A 20,574-nucleotide genomic window follows, 5' to 3' on the forward strand; every position below is an offset into this window, starting at 1 on the left:
GTTTTCTGCGAGTATATATCACCTTATAACCAGAAGAAAAAAAATAGTCTTTTTAAGGATCTGATGAACTTATCTATGGTGTAAGGGTTATAACTAGAGTAGGGATTAAATAGAACAAATGGAAAAACTTTGACTTATCACTTTAGGAAACATTGCAACAGAATTAAGAAGAATAAGTAAAAAACACAAACTATTTGGAGCTGGATAGACATAGTTTTTTTTTCTTAAATAAAAAAAAAGTATTATTATTTTTATTCAGTCTTACTCTGTCACCCAGGCTGGAGTACAGTGGGGTGATTATGGCTCACCGCAGCCTTGACCTCCCCAGGCTCAAGCAAGCCTCCCACCTCAGCCTTCCCAGCAGCTGGGACCACAGGCAAGCACCACCACACTCGGCTAATTTTTGTACTTTATTTTTTTTAGAGACAGGGTTTTGCCATGTTGCCCAGGCTGGTCTCGAACTCCTGGGCTCAAGTGATCCACCTGCCTCAGCCTCCCAAAGTGCTGGGATTACAGGCATGAGCTACTGCACCCAGCCTAGACATAGATTTCAGTCTCGATTTAACTACCTATTAAATATGTCATATTTGGAGCTTTCTTATCTACAGGCTAAATACCCTTCCTTGCATGACTCTTGTCTGAAACTGAGTTGACATAGTCAATGGGCCTGGCATGATGTCTAATGTAGAGTAGATTTTCCAAAAAAGTTTCATCATGTCCCCTTACTGATACCTAGATCTTACCTTTTGATAGCTCAGCCTTAATCTTTTGCCTAAGATCAAGTTAATGTTGCCAGTATTTCCACTATGATCAATTAAAACTTGATTCCATAAGGCCTCATCTATGTAAGGTAAATTTAAAATGACATTTGGCACAGCTGAATACAAAAATACATCTCCTTCCATAATTAATAAAGACAGGAAATAATTTATTCAAAGAGGACTGAAAAAAAAAGTTACCTGAATTGACAATTATTTGAGCTTACGAATCATTTCATTTAGAAGTCAAACCAGTTGTACATGGAGATGACTAAAGTGGGTCAATGTATTGATTAGATAATACCCTAGTTATCCATTTTCTTCCCTATCAGGAATTTGTAAAGGACAAAAATTTCCACATTGTTGTGAAAGGCAAAATTAGAACACTTCTCACTGAACTATTACATAAACTGTTCTTGCATGCTCTAATTTTATTTAAAATTAGAAATAGCTTCAGGGGTATTAATAGAATCAATAAATAGTGATATGTAATCAATATTTGATGTTGATAATTTTTTATTGATTTTACTGTGTTGATTATAAAGAACTTAAGGGAACTCTAGGCACCATGTTTCCAAAATATCTGGCTTGTTTAAATATACACAAAACAGAGCTATACACTAGTACATAAATAATCTAGATTAAGACAACTGTTTGTACAATGATTTTGTAGTGGCCTATATTTTTATCATCTCAAGCAAACATTCTTTGTCATGAGTCCTTGAATAAATGAAGAAAATATCTCGGTGAAAAGAAAATGAATTTTGCTTTTTTTGGGCATAACATTTTATTTCTTTCTATCACAAAGCTGAAAAATTGAGCAGTGATGCTTGTCAGCTTATTCTTTTCAGCTGAATGGAATGGAAAATCACACAAAATTGAACACAGAAACTGCCTTGACCTTCTCAATTGCCTGAAAATGGAAGTGTTTATTCAAGCATTTACATGGTGGCCCTGGCTCATGGTGCCTTTGATTAATATAAACTGTTTTTCTAAGATAAGCAGCTCAAGGCATATGCTTTCTTCACTTCATCTCTGCTAAACTTCTCCATCTAGCACAACTTAGAGGCCCTGAAAAAAAATCATTTGTTTGTCCTTTCTCACCTGGACTCCTGTAACAGGAACCCAGCAGATCTGTAGGCTTGCCCTCCTGTCATTTTATGATCCATTCTCCACAGAGCACTGGAGCCATCTTTATAAAATGCAAATCAGCTTCTCTTCCTTCCTTAGTTAAAACACTCAAATGGCAGCCGATCATAATTAGAATAAAATCTGAACCTCTTCCACATCTGACTTCATCTTGCACTACTAACCCTTTCCTCACTGGGCTGTAACTATACTCTCCTTTTTACTGTTGTTCAATCACACTAAGTTCATTCCCACTGCAGGAACTTGGCCTTGCTATTCTCTGTGCCAGGAATGCCTTGCTCCTAGACTTTACCACATCTGCCTTCTTTTTTGCATTCAGGTCTTGGCTCAAATATCATCTTTTCAGAGAAATCTTCTAACTTTCTAATCCAAAGTGGAACTCCCCTGCTCCCCGTTACTTTCTGTAGGTCTGTCATTGTTGTTTCCATACCACTTATTACTAGCTGGCATTATTTTATCCTTTATTTTCTTATTTATTGTTTTCTACTCTTCACTAAAATTTCATCTCCATAAAGGCAAATATCTTGTTGATTGTATTCACTGCAGTATTCTTAACATCCAGGATAGTGACTAACACATACTGTTCTGTTTGTAAATAGTTTTTACATAAACATTCATCTGTGCAACTAATCAATTGAAGTTTTTTTATTTACAAGCAACAGAAACTAACTCCAGTGAACTGGAGCAGAAAAGTACCTATTGAAAAACATGTTGAATTTTATGTGTCAACTTGATTGGGTTACTGGGTGCCCAGATATTGGGTCAAACATTATTCTGGGTATTTCTATAATGGTAGTTTTGGATGAGGTTAATATTTAAATTGGTAGACTGAATAAAACAGATTGCTCCCCCTCAATTTCTGTGGGCAACCATTCAATTGGTTGACGAAAGGTCTGAATAGAATGAAAGGCTGACCTCCCTGGAGTAAGATAAAATTCTGCTTTCCTGACTGCATTTGAACTGGATATTGGCTTTTTCCTTTTTTGAAACTTGAACTGAAACATTGGTTCTTCCTGGGTCCCCAGGCTGCCAGGCTTCAGACTGGAACTACACCATGGGATCTCCCAGGTCTCCAGCTTGTCCACTTGCCCTGCAGATCTTGAGACTTTCCAGACTCCATAGTCACGTGAGCCAATGCCCTATACTAAATACTAAATCTCTTTATATATGCATGTCCTATTGGTTGTTTCTCTGGAGAATCCTAACTAAAACAGAAAGATATCAAGTGGCTCACAGAATAGCCAGAATAACTAGAAAAAGAGCCTTGGAAAATGGGGAGGAACAAAGCCCTTAGAAGGCCAAAACCACAACTGAAATGACACAAAGGAAAAGTCTGGCTAGAACAAAGCTGCTTTTAGCCCTGCTAGTCGTGGCCACCGGACACCCTACTACTCTTGCCACTGCCATAGCTGCTGCTGGATGCTGACACTCTCACCAGACTGAACTGTCACTGTCCTTGCTTCTTTATTTCCTTTTCTCTATGCTTAAGTTTCCCTGCAGCAACAATCTTGGCCACATGTCCACAACCCTACTTGAGGTTAAATTATTAAAAAAAAAAAAAAAAAAAAAAAGCTTCTGGCCTTTGAGGCTTTTGAGATAAAAAATAGGTTTTGTCACTATAAAATCATAAAATGTGAAAAGCAAATAATTGCTTTATATATTTTATCATTAGCTATGACCTAGAAATACATTGATCTTGCTATGCTCATCACAGATCTTTTCATTTATTCAACAATCATATATTAAATATCTTATAATTTCCTCTATGATATTTGCTGAGTTAATCAATAGTTACAGAAACATGACCACAATCTCAAGATTGGCTAAAATTAGCCCCATAAAATATGAAGAGCTCTATAAAATCCTAATGATCTCTATAAAATCCTATAGATGCCTAGGTATCTATAGGCAGCTTTGAAAGGCTGATAAAAAGACTTACCTCCACTGCAAGGCCAAGAATTGGTAATCATGTAGATCTCCTGTATGAGTTCCTCTTCACAGCAGAGATAGATTTGGACCCTAGACCCAGATGTTGCATTCCCTCACGAAACGACTGTGAGCAGGTCTCTAAGCCTTGGTTTCTTTACCTGTAAAATGAGAATAATAACAAAGTTATTATTATTAATAGAGCCTTCTATTACTTCCTCACCAAGTTTTTCTGAGGATCATATAGAATAATACATGAGTAGGTCTCAAATGAAAGTATGCAGAATACATGTAAAATATCAATAGTATTGTTACGTAAGTAGTAAGACCCTATTGCAATTGAAAAGCCACATCCATTCTAATTGAAATGAAAGCCACATCCACTCTAATCACAAGAGCTACTCTCTTAGTTTTATGCTGCCATAACAAAAATACTTGAGATTGGCTGATTTGTGAAAAACGGGCATTTATTTTCACAGTGCAGGAGGCTAGGAAGTCCAAGATCAAGGTGTTGACAGGTTTGGTCATCTGGTGAGTGCTACTCTCTGTTTCCAAGATGGCACCTGGTGCTGCATCCTTCAAGGGGAGGAATGTGTTGTCCTCACATGGTAAAAGGCAGAAGGGTGAGGGAGCCAAAGCATTAATTATGCCTCTTTTATAAGGGCCTTAATCCCATTCACCAGAGAGGGAACCCTCATTGGCCTAATCACCTCTTAAAGGCCCCTTAACGCCATTATATTGGCCATTATGTTTCAACACCCGAATTTTGGAGGGGACACGTCCAGACCACAGCTGCTACTATTTATTTATCTCTTGTCCAATTCTCTAAATATGCATAGCTCATCATTCTCTCATTGTGTCTTCTCCTGCCAACTTGACTAAGTAAAGCATCTCTCAGCTTCTGGATCCTCTCCTTTTCTCTTGGCTGGCTGCTTCACATTGGAGAGACTTCAGCTAAACTAGTTGATTTCCCTCCATGGGGGAAGAAGGATTTATTTGATAGATGACTTTGAGGTAGGAAAGTGACCCTGTTTAGACCGACAAATACTAAGAAGTCATTTTTGCCCTATACGTCATGTTGGCTATTTTTACCAATCTTCCATAGAAAAATAAAATTCTCATTATAATGTATATTACCTATAAGCATTATCTTAATTATTGTAAAATCTCAGTTCCTGGAGATTTCATTAGTTTATGTGCTATGGCTGGCTACTTAACACAGAGTATTTTACATATATTAATTCTAGGCAAATATCCCTTTATGATATTTTAGCAACTCAACCTTTAGTCATAACCAAAGAATTATAAATTGTCCACTTGTGAATACCTCAAAATATGTACTCATTTTAACTCGCTAACATGGTAAAACATGGAAAACGTGATCTATAAAGAATAAACATAAGTCATGGTGCTCACAACACAATAGAAGCACAGCGGATAGATTTCTGTTTAAAGGCTCAGCTCAACAGGGAATAGAAAAAAAGAAAACAAATGTCTCTGCCCTGCTAAGAGAAGCCTTGCCTTTGTGTGCTGTTTCCTGGCAAATGAAAAGGAAGAGAAGCTCCAGCTTGTACTGCCCTCTTAGGATTTGAAGGAACAAAAGAAAAGTAAATACTTCTCTGCTTCTAAGAATGACATTTAGGCAAAAATAGTCTATCTTTTCTTTTTGTTTCTTCTCCTTCCTTTATTATTAAACAAAAAAGACTAATGCTAAGGTGAAAATCCTTTTTGAAATTATTTTTAATTTGTGTAAAAAGTTTCGTCATTTTTTGAAAATTATAGCAGAGCTTATTTTGTTTCCCTCCTTCAAATTGTCTAATGCGATATTCAGTTGTTAATTCTTGAGTAACTTTTGATTCTTTGGTGGTGCAATCAAAATTGAAGACCACCAATTTATTCAAATGATATATTATTCCAGCCACTATAAGGAGTACCCTCAGTTAATACTGATTGTAAATGATTTCCCTATGCAAACTAACTCCTTCTCTCAAAGCCTTTTTCCTAGGACTTCAACTCATTTTATATGCTATTATGATCTGAGTGTTTGTGATCCGCCCCCCCCCCCCAAATTTTTATGTTTAAATTCTAATCCACAAGCGATGAGATTAAGAGGTAGAACCTCTGTGAAGTGATTAGATCATGAGAATGGAACCCTCATGGACCAAATTAGTGCCCTTATAAAAAAGGTCCAAGGTGGATCACCTGAGGTCAGGGGTTCAAGACCAGCCTGGCCAACATGGTGAAACCCCATCTCTACTAAAAATACAAAAATTAGCTGGGCATGATGGTGGGTGTCTGTAATCCCAGCTACTCAGGAGGCTGAGGCAGGGGAATCACTTGAGCCTGGGGGTGGAGGATGCAGTGAGCCAAGATCATGCCATTGCACTCCAGCCTGGGCGACAAGAGCAAGACACTATCTCAAAAAAAAAAAAAAAATGGCCCAAGAGAGACTCCTGGTACTTTCCACCATGTGAGGACACAGTGAGAAGGTGTCATCTATAAACCAGAAGTGGGTCCTCACCAGACACCAAATCTGCCCATGCCTTCACGTTCATCTTGGGCTTCCCAACCTCCAGAACTGTAAGAAATAAAGTTCTACTTTCTGTAAGCCACCTAGTTGATAGTATTTTGTTACAGTATCCCAAACCGACCAAGGCATATACCCACTTCGATGATATGCCATGATGGTAGCCAATGCTAGCACAGACTTAAGGCTTAATAAAAATATTATCATGTCACAATTCTGACCTCAGTAATAGTACCAGGCTCCTGGATCCATCGGTAGGGTAATTTGAGACACTCAAATGGATGGCTAAAGTTATGCTAAAGTGCTCAGTCCCAATCCACACTGAGACAAGGGCTTCCACTACCACCTCTGTCTCATGAACCCTATTTCAAAGAGCAGTGCATGTGCAAGAACCATTTTCTCACTCAATCCAAAAACCATCACCAAAATAATGTCTGGCAAACTGCATTCCACATCTTCATCCTCTAACATAAAGTGTAAGATGATAATATTTTTATTAGTGTGACATGATAATATTTTTTATTAAACCCTAGCATGTTAATACAGGTCCCCATTGCTAAAATCCTTTATTTTTGTATCTTCCTGACTTTCGGGGTAAGATACTGAGTTGAATTGTCTAAAGAGAAGAGAATCTTCTTTGACAGTTTTTGCCAAGTAGATCAACAAATGCCTTTGACATTAAAATACCATAAAGCCTAAACTGGATGCTCTTAACCCCTGGTGTCCTATTCTTATGGATTTTCTCCTAAACCCTCTGGTAATTCCTTTTTAGTATTTTTCTAGGGCTCTTTTTTCTCCCTTTTCTTGTGGGTATTAGCAGCCTCTCTTTTAACACTCTAGACTGTGGCTCACAAACCCAAGTGATAACACAGATCTGTAGATGACATGAATAAATGAAGCAGGTGGTAGGAAGGAAAAATTATGTGACTCTCTTACTCTTTACTTTTTCCATCTTTGATAAAGTAAAGAAATACCTTTTCTCTTAGAAAAACAACAACCACCACAACAGAAAACAAATACAAGCATAATTTTAAATGGCAGCTGGTATTCAATGTCAGGGAGATAAGAAGGAGTGGATGTGTCTATGGAAAACAGGAAGCAGCTGTTTCTCAGCTTCAGCCAATGTCAGCCAATAGGCAACATAACCATTAGCAAATTTTTTTCCATTTCTCAAGACAATCTGAAATTCAGGCTTTCATTTGAAATCTCTGATGTTTAAAAATTTGCTCGAGGATAACATATCTACATGCCAGAAATAGCATGCTAAAGAGAATACATCTCCATGACAGAAATGGTCAGTGGGTTGCCAGTTCGTGGCTTCTTTATCACAAATTACTAAAGGCAGTGCTTTTCAAACTGCAGAGGACAACCTACTGATGGCTGATGTCACCAATCTCATGGGTTGCAAGTAGCATTTTTAAATGAAATAGAATTGCATAGAAGAAAATGGAATAGAAAGCAACAGAATTTATCACATTTAATGGGGTAGGAATTGTAAAAGGAGATCTGTGTGTGTGCATGTCTGTGTGTGTCTGTGTGTGTAGTAGGTCTCTGTAGGTCTCTGTAAAAAAAAAAAATCTACTGCTGACTGTAGTCAATACGTTTGAAAGTCACTGCCTTGGTAACATTATTTTACCCACTTACTGTCATATGACATTTAAATGCCAATGGTTTTGAAAAGTGTATCTATAGGCTAGATTTTTATCTTGAACTCAGACCCATATTTTCAACTATCTACCAGATATTAGCACTTGGATGTTCCACACGTCCCACAAATTGAGTAATAGAATGATTAAAATAATGGGCTTTGTAGCCAGATTTGAGTTTGAATTGTGGGATTTCTCAGCCTGTTTTCTCATTCTTAAAGTCGGAATAATTAAAACCTCAAAATAGTGCTGTAAGAATTTATGTCCTTAGAACAGTGCCTGGCTCACACAAAAATAAATAAATATCGCTTGAGCACCAACCACGTTCCAGGTATTGTTCTAGGCACTAGAGATTGATGAGAAAATTCAGCCCCCCCACCATATGAGACAATGCTGCTTTTCAGCGGTTTGAGAAAAAAGTTGAAATCAACAAAACATCCCCTTCATGTTTTACTGCATACATACAGTAATCCTTTTAAAACGTATTCCATCAGCAACCTTTTCAAACAGCACTTTGAAGTTTACTGAGTTATGACCACAGAATGACCTTCTTCCTGCTGAGTGTGAGTAAGCCTTCTCTCCCTGCCCCAGCTAACCACCAGGCAATTCTCAGAGAGGTCTCAGTTTTACTTGGGTACAAAATAGAACCTCTAATGTTATTGGGTGAAGGAACTTGTGTGCAGCGTTCCCAGGTTCTAGTGAATAAGATGATGTCCTTTGCCCTTGTGAAGTTTGCTGACAGTGACCACATAAACAGATACATACATGACAGTATAATTTCAGCTGATATCGTACTGTTGTAAGTATTGTTACAATGATGATGATGATTGTGATGATAAAGTAAAACCATAAACACATTATTTCCCCACTCTTTCTCCTTACACCTACCTCCTTCTCATCCTGTATTTCTAGCTGGATGAATCACATCACCTTTCACACTGTTGCCCAAGCCAAAGGCATCTATCTAGTCTATAGGCTCTACTCTATATTTCTGAAATCCATCTACTTTTCACTCTTACTATCATTGTGCTATGCCAGATTCCTACCATCACTTGCCCAAGGTTCTGTGGCAAACTCCTGATTGGCCTTTCTGCTTCCAGATCCATCCCCTCTTAATACATCATTCACATTGAAATCAGACTCCATCTAGAATGGATCTAGCCATGTCTGTTCATTTCCTAACCCTTTAAGGTCTCCCCATTGTCATCTGTAGAAAGTCTAAGCTCCTGGTGGATTTACCAGACCCTTCGTGATCTTAGCCTTGTTCAACTCTCAAGCATCATCGTTCTCAAATTCTGTCTTCTTGTTAATTAGAATGACTTACATAAATTTTTAAAGTTCTCTTTTACTTCCAGGCTTTTATCTAGACTACTCTTCCTCCTGGAAATCTTTTTGCTCTCCCTGCTTTTCTTACTTCCAACATTCCCTGCACCCCCCGCCACACCCACACACTTCCACCCTTCAATTAAGTGCACTTTGAAATTGTTTGTTTTCTTGACTCTCTCCTCTTAAGGGGAGATGTCTTTATTGGCGTATTCCAATTAACTAAAGTAAAATGCCTACGTCCCTGTATTTGTTTCCTATTACTGCTGTAACAAATTGTCACAAACATAATGGCTTAGAACAATATAAATTTATCATCTAATGTTCTGCAAACCAGAAGTCTGGCAGGTCTCATCAGGTTAAAATCAAGATATTGGCTAAAATCAAGGCATCAGCTAAAATCAAGGCACCAGCAGGACTGCATTGTTGTATTCCTTTCTGTAGGGTCTAGGTAGGATCTATTTCCTTGCCTTTTCCAACTTCTAGAGATCATGCATATTCCTTGGCTTGAAGCTGCCTTCTTTCTATTTTCAAAACTAGAATAGGCGAGGGAAGTCCTTCCCACTTGGAATCACTCTGATCTCCTCATTTGCCTCTCTCTTCCATTTTTAAGGTCCCTTATAATTACATATCACCTGGATAGTCCAGAACAATCTCCTTAATTTAAGATCATCTGATTAGCAACCTTAATTCTATTTGCTGCCTTAATTCCCCTTTGTCATATAAGGTAATATATTTATAGGCTTCTGGGATTAGGACATGGATGTCTTTGGGAGGCCATTACTCAGACTACCAGGGCCCCCATTAATGGCTCATAAATTGATATGCAAATAAGGTGTCCAGTGGATCATTACAGGGGCTGCTGTGGTGAATGGCTGTTATTCTTGCCTGCCTATCACTTATTTTCTTTCTTATGGCAATGACATCTTCATATTCCCAGAGGAGCTCCTTCTCCCCCAACTTCACACAATCTTAGTGGGTGTATTAGTTAAGGTAAGGCTTAATATCTAGTGCCAAAATTTCAGTTGCCTCAAAAAAAATTTTTTTAATGATTTCTTGCTCACATAAAGGTCCAATGAGTATTTCTAGTATGGCTATCCTCCTTTGAGTAGTTCAGAGGACTCAAAGACCCTGGTTCCTTCCATCTTGAAACTTCTCCATCGCAAAACACAATTGCCAATGTCATCTGGGAATCGTCTTCGATTTATTCATCTGGAGACAGAAAGGAGCTTGAACATGTAGGGAAGATTTCTATAGGGCACATCAGGAACTGGCATATATCATTTCTGCTCATATTCTAATGACTGGATGTCAGTCCCATGACTATACCTAATGAGAAAAGAGATTAGAAATGTGTTCTGACCATGCTCAGAAAGACAGGAAATGGATAAGAAGACCATCTAGCTGTTTCTGCCACAGTGAGACTGTTAAACAATAGCATCCAGGACTCCCTTGGCCAAGGGTTGCAGTTATAACCTAAATTCATTCAATCAGAAAATAAACCTTGAAAGACTGTCAGTTAAAATTGTGTTTAATTACAGAAACAAAAAACCACCACAACTTGGCAGCTTAATTGAGTAAGGCATTTTAGGTCCAAAATAATAATTTTGGGGATAGTAGGCCAGGACAGGTATACCAGCTCACTGATGTTATCAGACAGGAAAGCCCCTTCTATTTTCCTGCACCACTATCTTTACAATGTGGTTGCAGTTCTCATGGTCATAGGTTGGCCATTGCAGCTCCAGGCATCACTTTTACCTTCCAGATAAAAAGAAGTTAGAAAGCATAGGGTCGGGAAATTCTGCTGAAGGCTATAACTGTGTCCCATAGACAACCCTAACTGGGAGACTAGGAAATTAAGTATTTTCATTTCCTGACTTCCAATAGTGAAAGAAGAAAGAAGGAATTGGAATGGGTGCCGATTGAACACCTGTTTGCACAACTGGAATGTCTGAAGCCAATTCATCCCCAGTGCATCTTTAACATTTAAGATAATTGGTATCCCTGCATCTAGATGCCCCGAGCTGTTTGGCTGTTCGGGTTCCTGCTGTTTCTTCAGTCTGGCTCTGTTTATTTATTTATTTTTTTCCTGACATGGAGTCTCACTCTGCCACCCAGGCTAGAGTGAAGTGGTGCGATCTTGACACATGGCAACCTCTGCCCCCCTGGTTCAGGCGATTCTCCTGCCTCAGCCTCTAGAGTAGCTGGGATTACAGGCACACACCATCACACTCGGTTAACTTTTGTATTTTTATTAGAGATAGGGTTTCGCTATGCTGGCCAGACTGGTCTCAAACTCCTGACCTCAAGCAATCGGCCCGCCTTGACCTCACAAAGTGCTGGGATTACAGGCGTGAGCCACCACACCCAGCCCAGGCTGGCTCGTAAAGCTTTTCTTTTACTTCTCTGAGCTATTTGATCTTTCTAATAAGTTCAATTTATTTAGTAAAAAGTTAATTTCTGCTTCTTACAACCAACAAATCCTAATTGATACTACCTTATACCTGGATTTTTAAAGGTCCAGGAAATACCAAGCTTATGAATACTTCTTTGTTCTAGTTCAGGACCCACTGACACTGAGCCCTGTCAATGGAATGTCCCACTAACAATTTGGAATTGAAAATTTAAAAGAATATTTGGCAATCGTTAAAGTATCCAAAAAAATGTTTTTTGGGAACAGGAAATTTTCATCCGATTGAACATTTAGGTAAAATAAATTTCTCTCTCCATTCCAGAGGTACATTCTTATTTTTATGAATTGGCTAGTGACTGGAGCTGGTTAAAAAATGGTGCAAACTCTGTGAGTTCACTAGCACTTTGTTAAATGAAATTGATCACTTGTAAAATACAGTAATTGCATTAAACAACTGTCATTAACCATAAGATCCCCTTGATGATGTCTCTTACACAGCTCCACAGGGAAAGCACTAAAAGTACACACATGCACACACATGCGCACATATACACTAGCCAAAATGTTTCCTGAGTATAAAATAAGACAGGAGAAAACACAGTAGAGTAGTAGAGACTCTCAGCAGGAACTACATTTGAAAAAATAATGATAAATGATATCATGATAAAAATGATGTCCTTAATAAAGCTACTAACACTACTTTACATAAATAATGGCCACTTGTAGATAAATTTTAGAATCATAGAATCTGCTTCCTAATTTTAGAGATGAGAAAACAAAAAGCCAAAAGAGTATCCACTAGGCCACACTGCCACTCAGCGAGTTAGCAGGAGCAGCAGGATGCAAATCTAGGTATAAGCAGAGTGTGAGTTTGGTGGTATGAAGGAAACACTGGAGCTGAACAAAAGATCATTGAAAAATCACTATTCACCTTACACTGAGGCCAATCTGCAAAATATTTTATCATTTATTAAACAATTTAAGCACTGAATCACAGACTATTTCCGGTACAAAATATTTAATAATGAGTGTATCGTGTGTGTGTGTGTGTGTGTGTGTGTACGTGTGTGTTTAAAGACAGGATTACTTATCGTTAGGAATAGGTTATTTTCCATAAAAAGGAAGTTTGGGCATATGGTACTGATTAAAAATGTTACTATGGTATATATAAAATAAAAACAGAAAAATACCATCAGTTTGAAATCATATGAAAGAAAACATGGCATTTTTTGCCTAATCAATGTTTATTTACAAAATACTCTGCAGGTATTCACACCTTTTCTCCTGGAATTTAGAATGCAATTAGTCATACAACATAAACCTAAAGAAAAAAATTACAAGCGTAGTAAAAATGCAACTTGTTTAGAATTTTGAAAATTGTGTAGAAAAGAGTTTCACACAATTATTCAGCATGAACTAGCTTGTTGTTATCAGTCAACAATAACCAAAAAAGTCAAATGCCTTCATGGGAGGAACATTTCAAGGTAAACTATAGTCAACTGAGATTTTTTAATATCTCAAGCTCAAAAGCAAGAGCATATATCCGAAAATCAAGTATTAATGATTTATTTATATCTCTTAACAGTGTTGTGGCAATTGAGGGAAAGGAAGGAGGTAATATGAAATGAGGAGATAGCTAGATGATATTTATGGAATGCATATAATTCAGGCATAATTATTTTCATGTTGGTTTTATGAAAACTTATAGTACATTATAACTAATCATGTTCCAGAAAATGCAAATAAGATAATAGTTGAGAAGGAATAGACATCAAATGCTTCTTTAATAAACCACAGCCATTTTCTCTAAGCAGGGAAAATGCTTTAATTGAATTTCATCTTATTAGAAAGACATTATTTCCTCCAGAGTCATAAAGTATATACAAGGAAGATTAGGAATTGTGCCTGTTGGGGCTATTTTGTAAGCACCACAATCTACTGTGGTGCTACTGTGGCTAGCGTAGGTAGAAAAATGAATTTATTGAAAGATATTAGACAGCTCAGAGAACTGTTGGGTGGGCTGAGGAATAGTCTCAAGATTAGCCCCTCCGGAACCATTCCTCAGAACCACACCAAAGAACTGGCCTGAGCAGGAAGTTACCATGGCCACCACCACCCCCACATTAGCAAAAGGAATGAATCATCCCCAGTTTGTTTCTTGCTACAGTTCACCTCCACGGTTAAGTCTCACTTCCGCCTCTAACTTACAAAACCATAGTTACACATCTGCAGCTTAGCCACAAGGGAGTCTGAGAATGCAGATTTTTTTTTTTTCTTTTCAAATTACCCTTGGAAAATGGAGCTCACAATGTGGAGAAGTATCAAATGAATAGAGGGTGTTGAAGGCATGTGGAAAATTTGGTAGGCAAAATTCTAAGATCTTCCACTATCTCCACTCCCTGATGTTATACCCAAGATTAGTTATATGGCAACAGGGATTTTGTAGATGTAATTAAGGGCCCTAAATAGTTTACTTTGAGTTCATCAAAAGGGTGATTATCCTTGGTGGGCTTGACCTAACCAGGTGAACCCTTAGAAGAGAATGTGCCCTTTCTGAGAGGAGATTTGAAGCATAAGAGAATTTTCCTGCTGGTCTTAAAGACACAAAGTCCACAAGATCGACAGCTGCAGGGAAACAAATTCTGCCAATGACCCCATGAGCTTGGAAGAGGGTCCTAAGCCTCAGATAAGACCCCAGCCCCAGCTGACACCTTAATTTTAGCCTTACAGGACCCTGAACAGAGAACCTAGTTATATTCTACCCAGAATTCCAACCAACAAAGCTATGAGATAATAAGCTAAGTTTTAAGCCACTAAGCTTGTGGTAATGTGTTATGCAGCAATATAAAATTAATCCAGGCAGCTACCAATGACAGGCATCTCTGAGAGTTGTCATGTATCAATGTTGGATAATAAATTATCCATAATCTTGTTAAGCATTTCCAAAAGGCAAAATAATTATAGTAAAGGTAATTTATATTTTCATAACCATTGTTAACTTCTCTTTAGGTACTATTCAGTGGTTACTCTCTGGTATAAACTGAGATTTAGAAATAAAAAAAGAAAACAGTTATTTAACAAATTTTTTGTACTACAATGTATTATCTAAATATGTGTGTGTGTGTGTGTGTGTGTGTGTGTGTGTGTGTGTGTCCAAGAGCTTATTACTATGGTAAAAATTAAAATATAAGTTTGATTTTATAACACCCATAATAAAAATATCTATCAGGAAGGACAGCTATAAGAAAAAGAAGGAAAATAAGCAAGTTAATAAGGAGGCAAACCAACTTTCTAATTGAGGAACAATTTATCACATGGTTTCATGCAGCTTACATTCTGACTAATTGATCATAATTTTATCAACCACGAGGTTAACAAGTAAAATATTCCTGGAATAGAAATAGACATGCTCTTACTCATCTCCCACAGCAGTTTCTTTAATGACATCTAAGAAAACAGCACAGTTCTAAAAACAATAATTACAGTCCATTTTAAAAAATTAGTTGAAATTACTTAGGTAAGGCTGTCTCATTTTAGAACAAAAACTAACTATGTAGTTTTTATATCAAGTTGGTTTAAAGCCCAAGACAAAACAAAGCAAAAATAATATGAACAAAGCCTCAAAAGAAGTTATAGGAGATCTATGGGAAAATCTATACTTCCCCGCTCAACTTTGAAGCTTGAATGTCCTATCAACCTGACATTTAATGACTTGTTTTGAGAACAGAATAATAATTTGTGACCCTTATTCCTAAGCAAGACATGCTAAAGATTACTGCATCTTGAGATGTACGAATTTCTGTATATTCAATCTCAGGAGACTCTATAACTCCACCATCCAAGATTAGCAACTAATTGCCACTAGTGACATGTGGCTATTTAGCCCTTGAAGATTGGCTAGTCCAAATTGAGACTGGCTGTAAGAATAAAATACACACAGATTTTGAATATTTAGTTTGGAGGGGAAAAACTCATTAATAAGTTTTATATTGATTATATGCTGAAATAATATAAATTATATTATTTTCACATGATAGTTAAAATACATTAACAACATAATTCATCTGTTTTCTAACTTTTTAAAAAATACGGCACCATGAAAATTTAAAACTTTACACATTACATGTCTATTGGATAACACTGTTCTGTAACATATGAAAATTCCACAGTTTTGTTTCAGAGATTCCATCATCACTTATGGAATCATGTCTTACTAAGCTATTTAAAGAATATCCCTTTGGCCAGGCGCAGTGCCTCATGACTGTAATCCCAACACTTTGGGAGGTCGAGGTGGGCGGATCATTTGAGATAAGGAGTTTGAGAACAGCCTGGCCAACATGGGGAAACCCCATCTCTACTGAAAATACAAAAATTAGCCTGGCATGGTGGTGGGTACCTGTAATCCCAGCTACTCAGGAGACTGAGGCAGGAGAATCGCTTGAACCCAGGAGGCAGAGGTTGCAGTGAGCTGAGACTGCACCACTGCACTCCAGCCTGGGCAACAGAGCAAGACTCTGTCTCGAAAAAGTAAAAATAAATAATAAAGTATATTCCTTTGTTGAAGGGTCTAAGACTGTGCCCTTGTCTACACATGGGCTAATACAATTATTCCTGCAGAGGATCTGGTGGTTTTTACTATCAGCCACAACATTGTTCTCAGAGCTCTGGAATGGAGTAGAAATGGCAAAGACCCTCCCTCCAGGGGCTATAGTAGATGCCCCAGATATTCTTGCAGAGGCTAAACTGAAAGCTATGGTAGTCCTTTTAGTTTATGTGCCCTAACATGAATCAAAATACCATCTCAGGGCCCAGTATGGTTTCAACACATAGTTTCCCATCTTCAGATACAAAACTGATAACAATGATATAAGAATTATTTTTAATAGGGAATTTAATGTTTAACTATTTGACTCATTTCTCTCTTTGGTATCCAGAAATTTTTATTTCATGGCATTTAATACAGTCAACTTTGGGTCAGGCCCATAGAGGAAAGTCATTCACAATTTGGGGGAGATCCCCAAATACAAGGACATAGTGTTTGAAATTAAAGACCCAGGGATGGTTGACACCAAGGCATGGGCACAAAATCGAGAAACAGTGGCAGATAACAGTTTAAAAATACCAGTGTTTAGTTTATATGATAATTTATATCACAAATAATGGGAAAGCCTGAGCAGGCTGTCATGAGATTGCAGTCTCTCCCTGTTGCTCTTGTGGAATTTTCTTTCCAAAGAGGCATGAGACGCCTTCACTCTACACTAATGTAGATGATTATCCCACAGGCTAGAACGCCCATTTGCCATTTCTCACCTCTGTGCAAGATTCCCTAATTTTCTTGATCCCAGTGGTAACCTGGGCAAGGTCTTTGGTAGGATCAAGAGGAGCAGCAAAGAGAGGAAGCTGAAAAGGGAGAGAGAAAGTTACCGCTGAAAAAGAAACACTTGAGCTGTCACTATTGAAATTCATTTTTCTGTTTCTTCTTTGTGTGAAAAAAGCAGGAAGACTGAGAAAAGAAGATATTTTTGTGACTTCTGTAATAAAATAATTTCCCAGTCAGGCTCTCACACTCCTCAACCCATCAGATATGTGCCTTTCAGGTGTTTACCCAGGGGAAAAATGGAAGGAAATGAGAGAATCAAATTATGACTAAAACTTACTTCAGTTTTTGATATTTTGATTTAGTTCTTTTAATGTAGCATTTTATTTTTACTCTGCTTTTTTTTTTTTTAAAGACCTTTGAACAGAAAAACAGGTTACTATCTTAGATTTTTAATGCTGATTGAAAACATAGCTGTTTGGAACAAAAAGTCATGCATAACTGAAATGGGCATTTGTTATACTTGCCATTCTGCCTCGATTTTCACCTTTTGTCAACAATATTCTGATTTCCTCTGGGTAAGCCACCCCTCATCCATTCTCAATCTCTGTGGTTTAGACGGGACTGACCACACCCCAAACTCCCAGGACTGGGCATATAATTGAATATTGTCAGTCTTGCTGCTTCAGAGACATGCATGTTCAGAGCTAATGAGAATGAAAATTGATATTTTTTTTCCTAATTGTTGGGAAACTTTATTTTCTACCAGAGTTGTTGAGGTTAGATGAATGTCTAAAACCGTCTTCCACCTATTAGAGATGAACTTACCTAAGAATGGGGCCAATTGGTCTAACAGATAGAGCACTGACAGCCCCTTGAGGCACCGAATTCATTCCAAAACCACCTTTACCTCTGGTGATTTTAGGAATGTGAATCCATAAATCACCTGGACCAGTCAGGGTTCAACTTTTTATCATTTGCAGTTGAAAACATCCCAACAGACTCAATTATTAAGACATCTATAGTGATCTTTCTGCAGTACATTCAAGTCATCACCAAAGGATCTAGGAAGAAAAGCTCTTCTAAGTGCTGCTATTGTAAATCCACATGCCCAAATTATATGAATATTTGGAAAAGAAAGTAAAGTCCCCAGGCATTTAGAATAAAATCTAACCATAAAGCAAAATGTGTCCAGTTTTGCTCCTTTAGCTATTAGAATGCCGGAGCATTAGAATGCCAGAGATTATTGAATGCCCCAAATAAATGCATTCAATACGTTGTTATTCAAGAAACTCCAGTCATGTATATTAGAGGCTTTCAACTTGTTAAGCCATGAGGTACTTTATTCAAAATAAATTTGTATGAAAGCCTAACATTTGAAAACATATAAAAATAGGATTTGTGGCATGGGAAGACATGGGTGGTGGGCATCGAACCCTGCCCAATGTTCTTTTCTTAGAAGACTCACCCCCCTTCCCCAAGATCTCCTTGGACACTAGCTCCACAGGTAACAGTGTAAAATAAACAGATCTAAATAATCCTAACTGATTGACCATTTGTAGTTCCGTCATAAACACATTACAACATTTCAGATCTAATGGCTTTCTAAAGAGCTTCTGTGCTTGTCCCCCAAACCAGCAATCTACTGTCAGCTTCAAGCCCCAAAGAATTTAGGGTACATCTAAAATAAAATCTAGTGAAAGAGCTCTCAATGAAAATTAAAATATCATTATATTCAGAATTGTGAATGTTGGAGATGCTATGTAAGTATCTCTCATGATAGATTTTTATTATGGTATTTTTTGAAAGTTCAAGATGGAATACCAAATGCAATATGCCAGAAGTTGCTAGGAAAAAAAAATAAGCCAGAAGTCTTTTGAAACTTTTCGCAAGCCTTGGCTTTAAGTATCAGGGAGATTATGAATTAGAGAATTCAAAGTGAGAATAATAAGGAAACTTTCATATTATAACAGGAACATGGAGCCAATGTTTAATTAACCACCCCTAAAGGAGGAAAAGAGACAACTTAAATAAAGCAAAAGAAAAATCTCAAATCACTTGCATTTGACTTTAGAATACTCTCTGACACAAATTCTCCACAATCAGTCAGGCTCCATCCTATCTCAGTAGCCTGGGAACAGCTTGGGAGTGTGAAGGTGAGGCCTTGAGGTCATTATAGAAGGCCATTAGGGGGTAAATAGAGAGTTGACCATTTGCGTTGAGGTTAATTCTTACAATTATAGAGAAGAGGGCTTAGATAGCTATGTTTATTTTCCGTATCTCTCTTCCCAGCTTCATATAACCCAGTCAATATCTCCCTCCCCCACTGCAATCTCTTTCCTTTATGTCATTTCTACTTGTGGTGCCCTTGTCACCACCCCCTCTTTTCCCACTGAGCTATTTTAGCTATGAGAATCAGAGTAGCCGGCATGGTCAGAGCAGTTAAAGAAGGATGAATGATCCTATTTATGCCAAATTAAAGAAGCCCTCCAGAAGTGCTTCCAGAGAGTACATACTCCTCGCATTGTCTGTTACCCTAAGGATTCTCTCTTGACTACATGGACCTTCAACCAACTAGCCTACATAATTTTTTCTCCCCCTGCCTCCTAGCACTAAAATATTTGCTAACACATAGGAAATAGAATCATAGCAATAAATGTTAGATAATGTGTAGATAGTAAAAAGGAAACTAACATGAAATTAACATCCATGGATTCACAATATGGGCTCCTATTAATCAAACACTTCATCTAATAATAAAAAGTTTTTGCATTACTTCTAACTCTTTGGTCTGCTGACACAAATGTGAACTTTAAATGCCCCCAAATCAAGTGAAAATTTTGCTTGTTAAGCAAGTTCAGTATCATTTGTACACATTTCTTGAACAGATGGTTAATAACAGTTAATTATCACTTAATATTTACTACAAAGCCAGAATATACAGAATATAAAGGGAATATATAAATGTTATATATATATATATATATATATATATAAAGGGAACATCCACTCCAAGGAACAAAAATAAGCCTATGCAAAGCAGAGAATGGCACAAAGCTTTCAGTTCAACATTCAATCAATAGTACTAATTGAGCATCTACTATAAGCTATTCATTGCACTAAGCACTGAGATCTTGAACAACAGGAACAAAGATCTCTGTGTGAGGCATATGAGGCTATAATTCCTTGGTAGTCCAGTTTTGGAATTGTGTTGCACTTAAATCAATAGAATTTGTGACCTTTTCTTCTATAGCTCACAGAAATTCGTGACTGATCTTGGGAAATTTTCATCAAGCTTCTTGGTCCCTTGCTATATTCAGGCACCCTGAACGTGTGAGATACCAGGAGTATCTCACATTTTGCCCCAGTAGAAACCTTTCTCATTTGTCTTGCTCTGTCCCTAATATCTTGGCTCTTGATTGCCTTCTCCTCCATTCTACACAGCCTATCACAACAGGCTTCACTTGTTGATAATTTTTATCGTGTTATATGTGTAATATATCTTGTCTTCAGGG

General features: G+C 37.5%; 1 long non-coding RNA gene across 4 annotated transcripts in view, besides 3 other annotated features; it reads right to left on the reverse strand.

Moving 5' to 3' along the window:
* The window catches only part of LOC105369844 (uncharacterized), a 310,508-nt gene that overhangs the window by 103,060 nt on the left and 186,874 nt on the right, over window positions 1–20,574 (reverse strand). For all 4 annotated transcript variants that reach the window (XR_007063375.1, XR_007063374.1, XR_007063376.1 and 1 more), the window contains one exon: window positions 3,847–3,994. This is a non-coding gene — a long non-coding RNA (uncharacterized LOC105369844). The remainder of the gene's footprint in view (window positions 1–3,846; window positions 3,995–20,574) is intronic.
* Window positions 5,022–5,605: an enhancer, noted in NCBI's record as "OCT4-NANOG hESC enhancer chr12:76026122-76026705 (GRCh37/hg19 assembly coordinates)". NCBI's record gives its function as "activates a minimal SCP1, AML or CMV promoter by ChIP-STARR-seq in naive H9 embryonic stem cells {active_cell/tissue: H9 hESC(naive)}" and the evidence as "EXISTENCE:reporter gene assay evidence [ECO:0000049][PMID:30033119]".
* Window positions 8,429–8,723: a silencer, noted in NCBI's record as "tiled region #10558; K562 Repressive DNase unmatched - State 8:EnhW". NCBI's record gives its function as "represses a minimal TATA promoter and a strong SV40 promoter by Sharpr-MPRA in K562 cells {active_cell/tissue: K562}" and the evidence as "EXISTENCE:reporter gene assay evidence [ECO:0000049][PMID:27701403]".
* Window positions 14,935–15,135: a silencer, noted in NCBI's record as "peak1837 fragment used in MPRA reporter construct". NCBI's record gives its function as "represses an SCP1 promoter by STARR-seq MPRAs in K562 erythroleukemia cells {active_cell/tissue: K562}" and the evidence as "EXISTENCE:reporter gene assay evidence [ECO:0000049][PMID:32103011]".

Source organism: Homo sapiens, chromosome 12 (genome assembly GCF_000001405.40).
Source record: "Homo sapiens chromosome 12, GRCh38.p14 Primary Assembly".
In the NCBI taxonomy this organism is placed as follows: domain Eukaryota; kingdom Metazoa; phylum Chordata; class Mammalia; order Primates; family Hominidae; genus Homo; species Homo sapiens.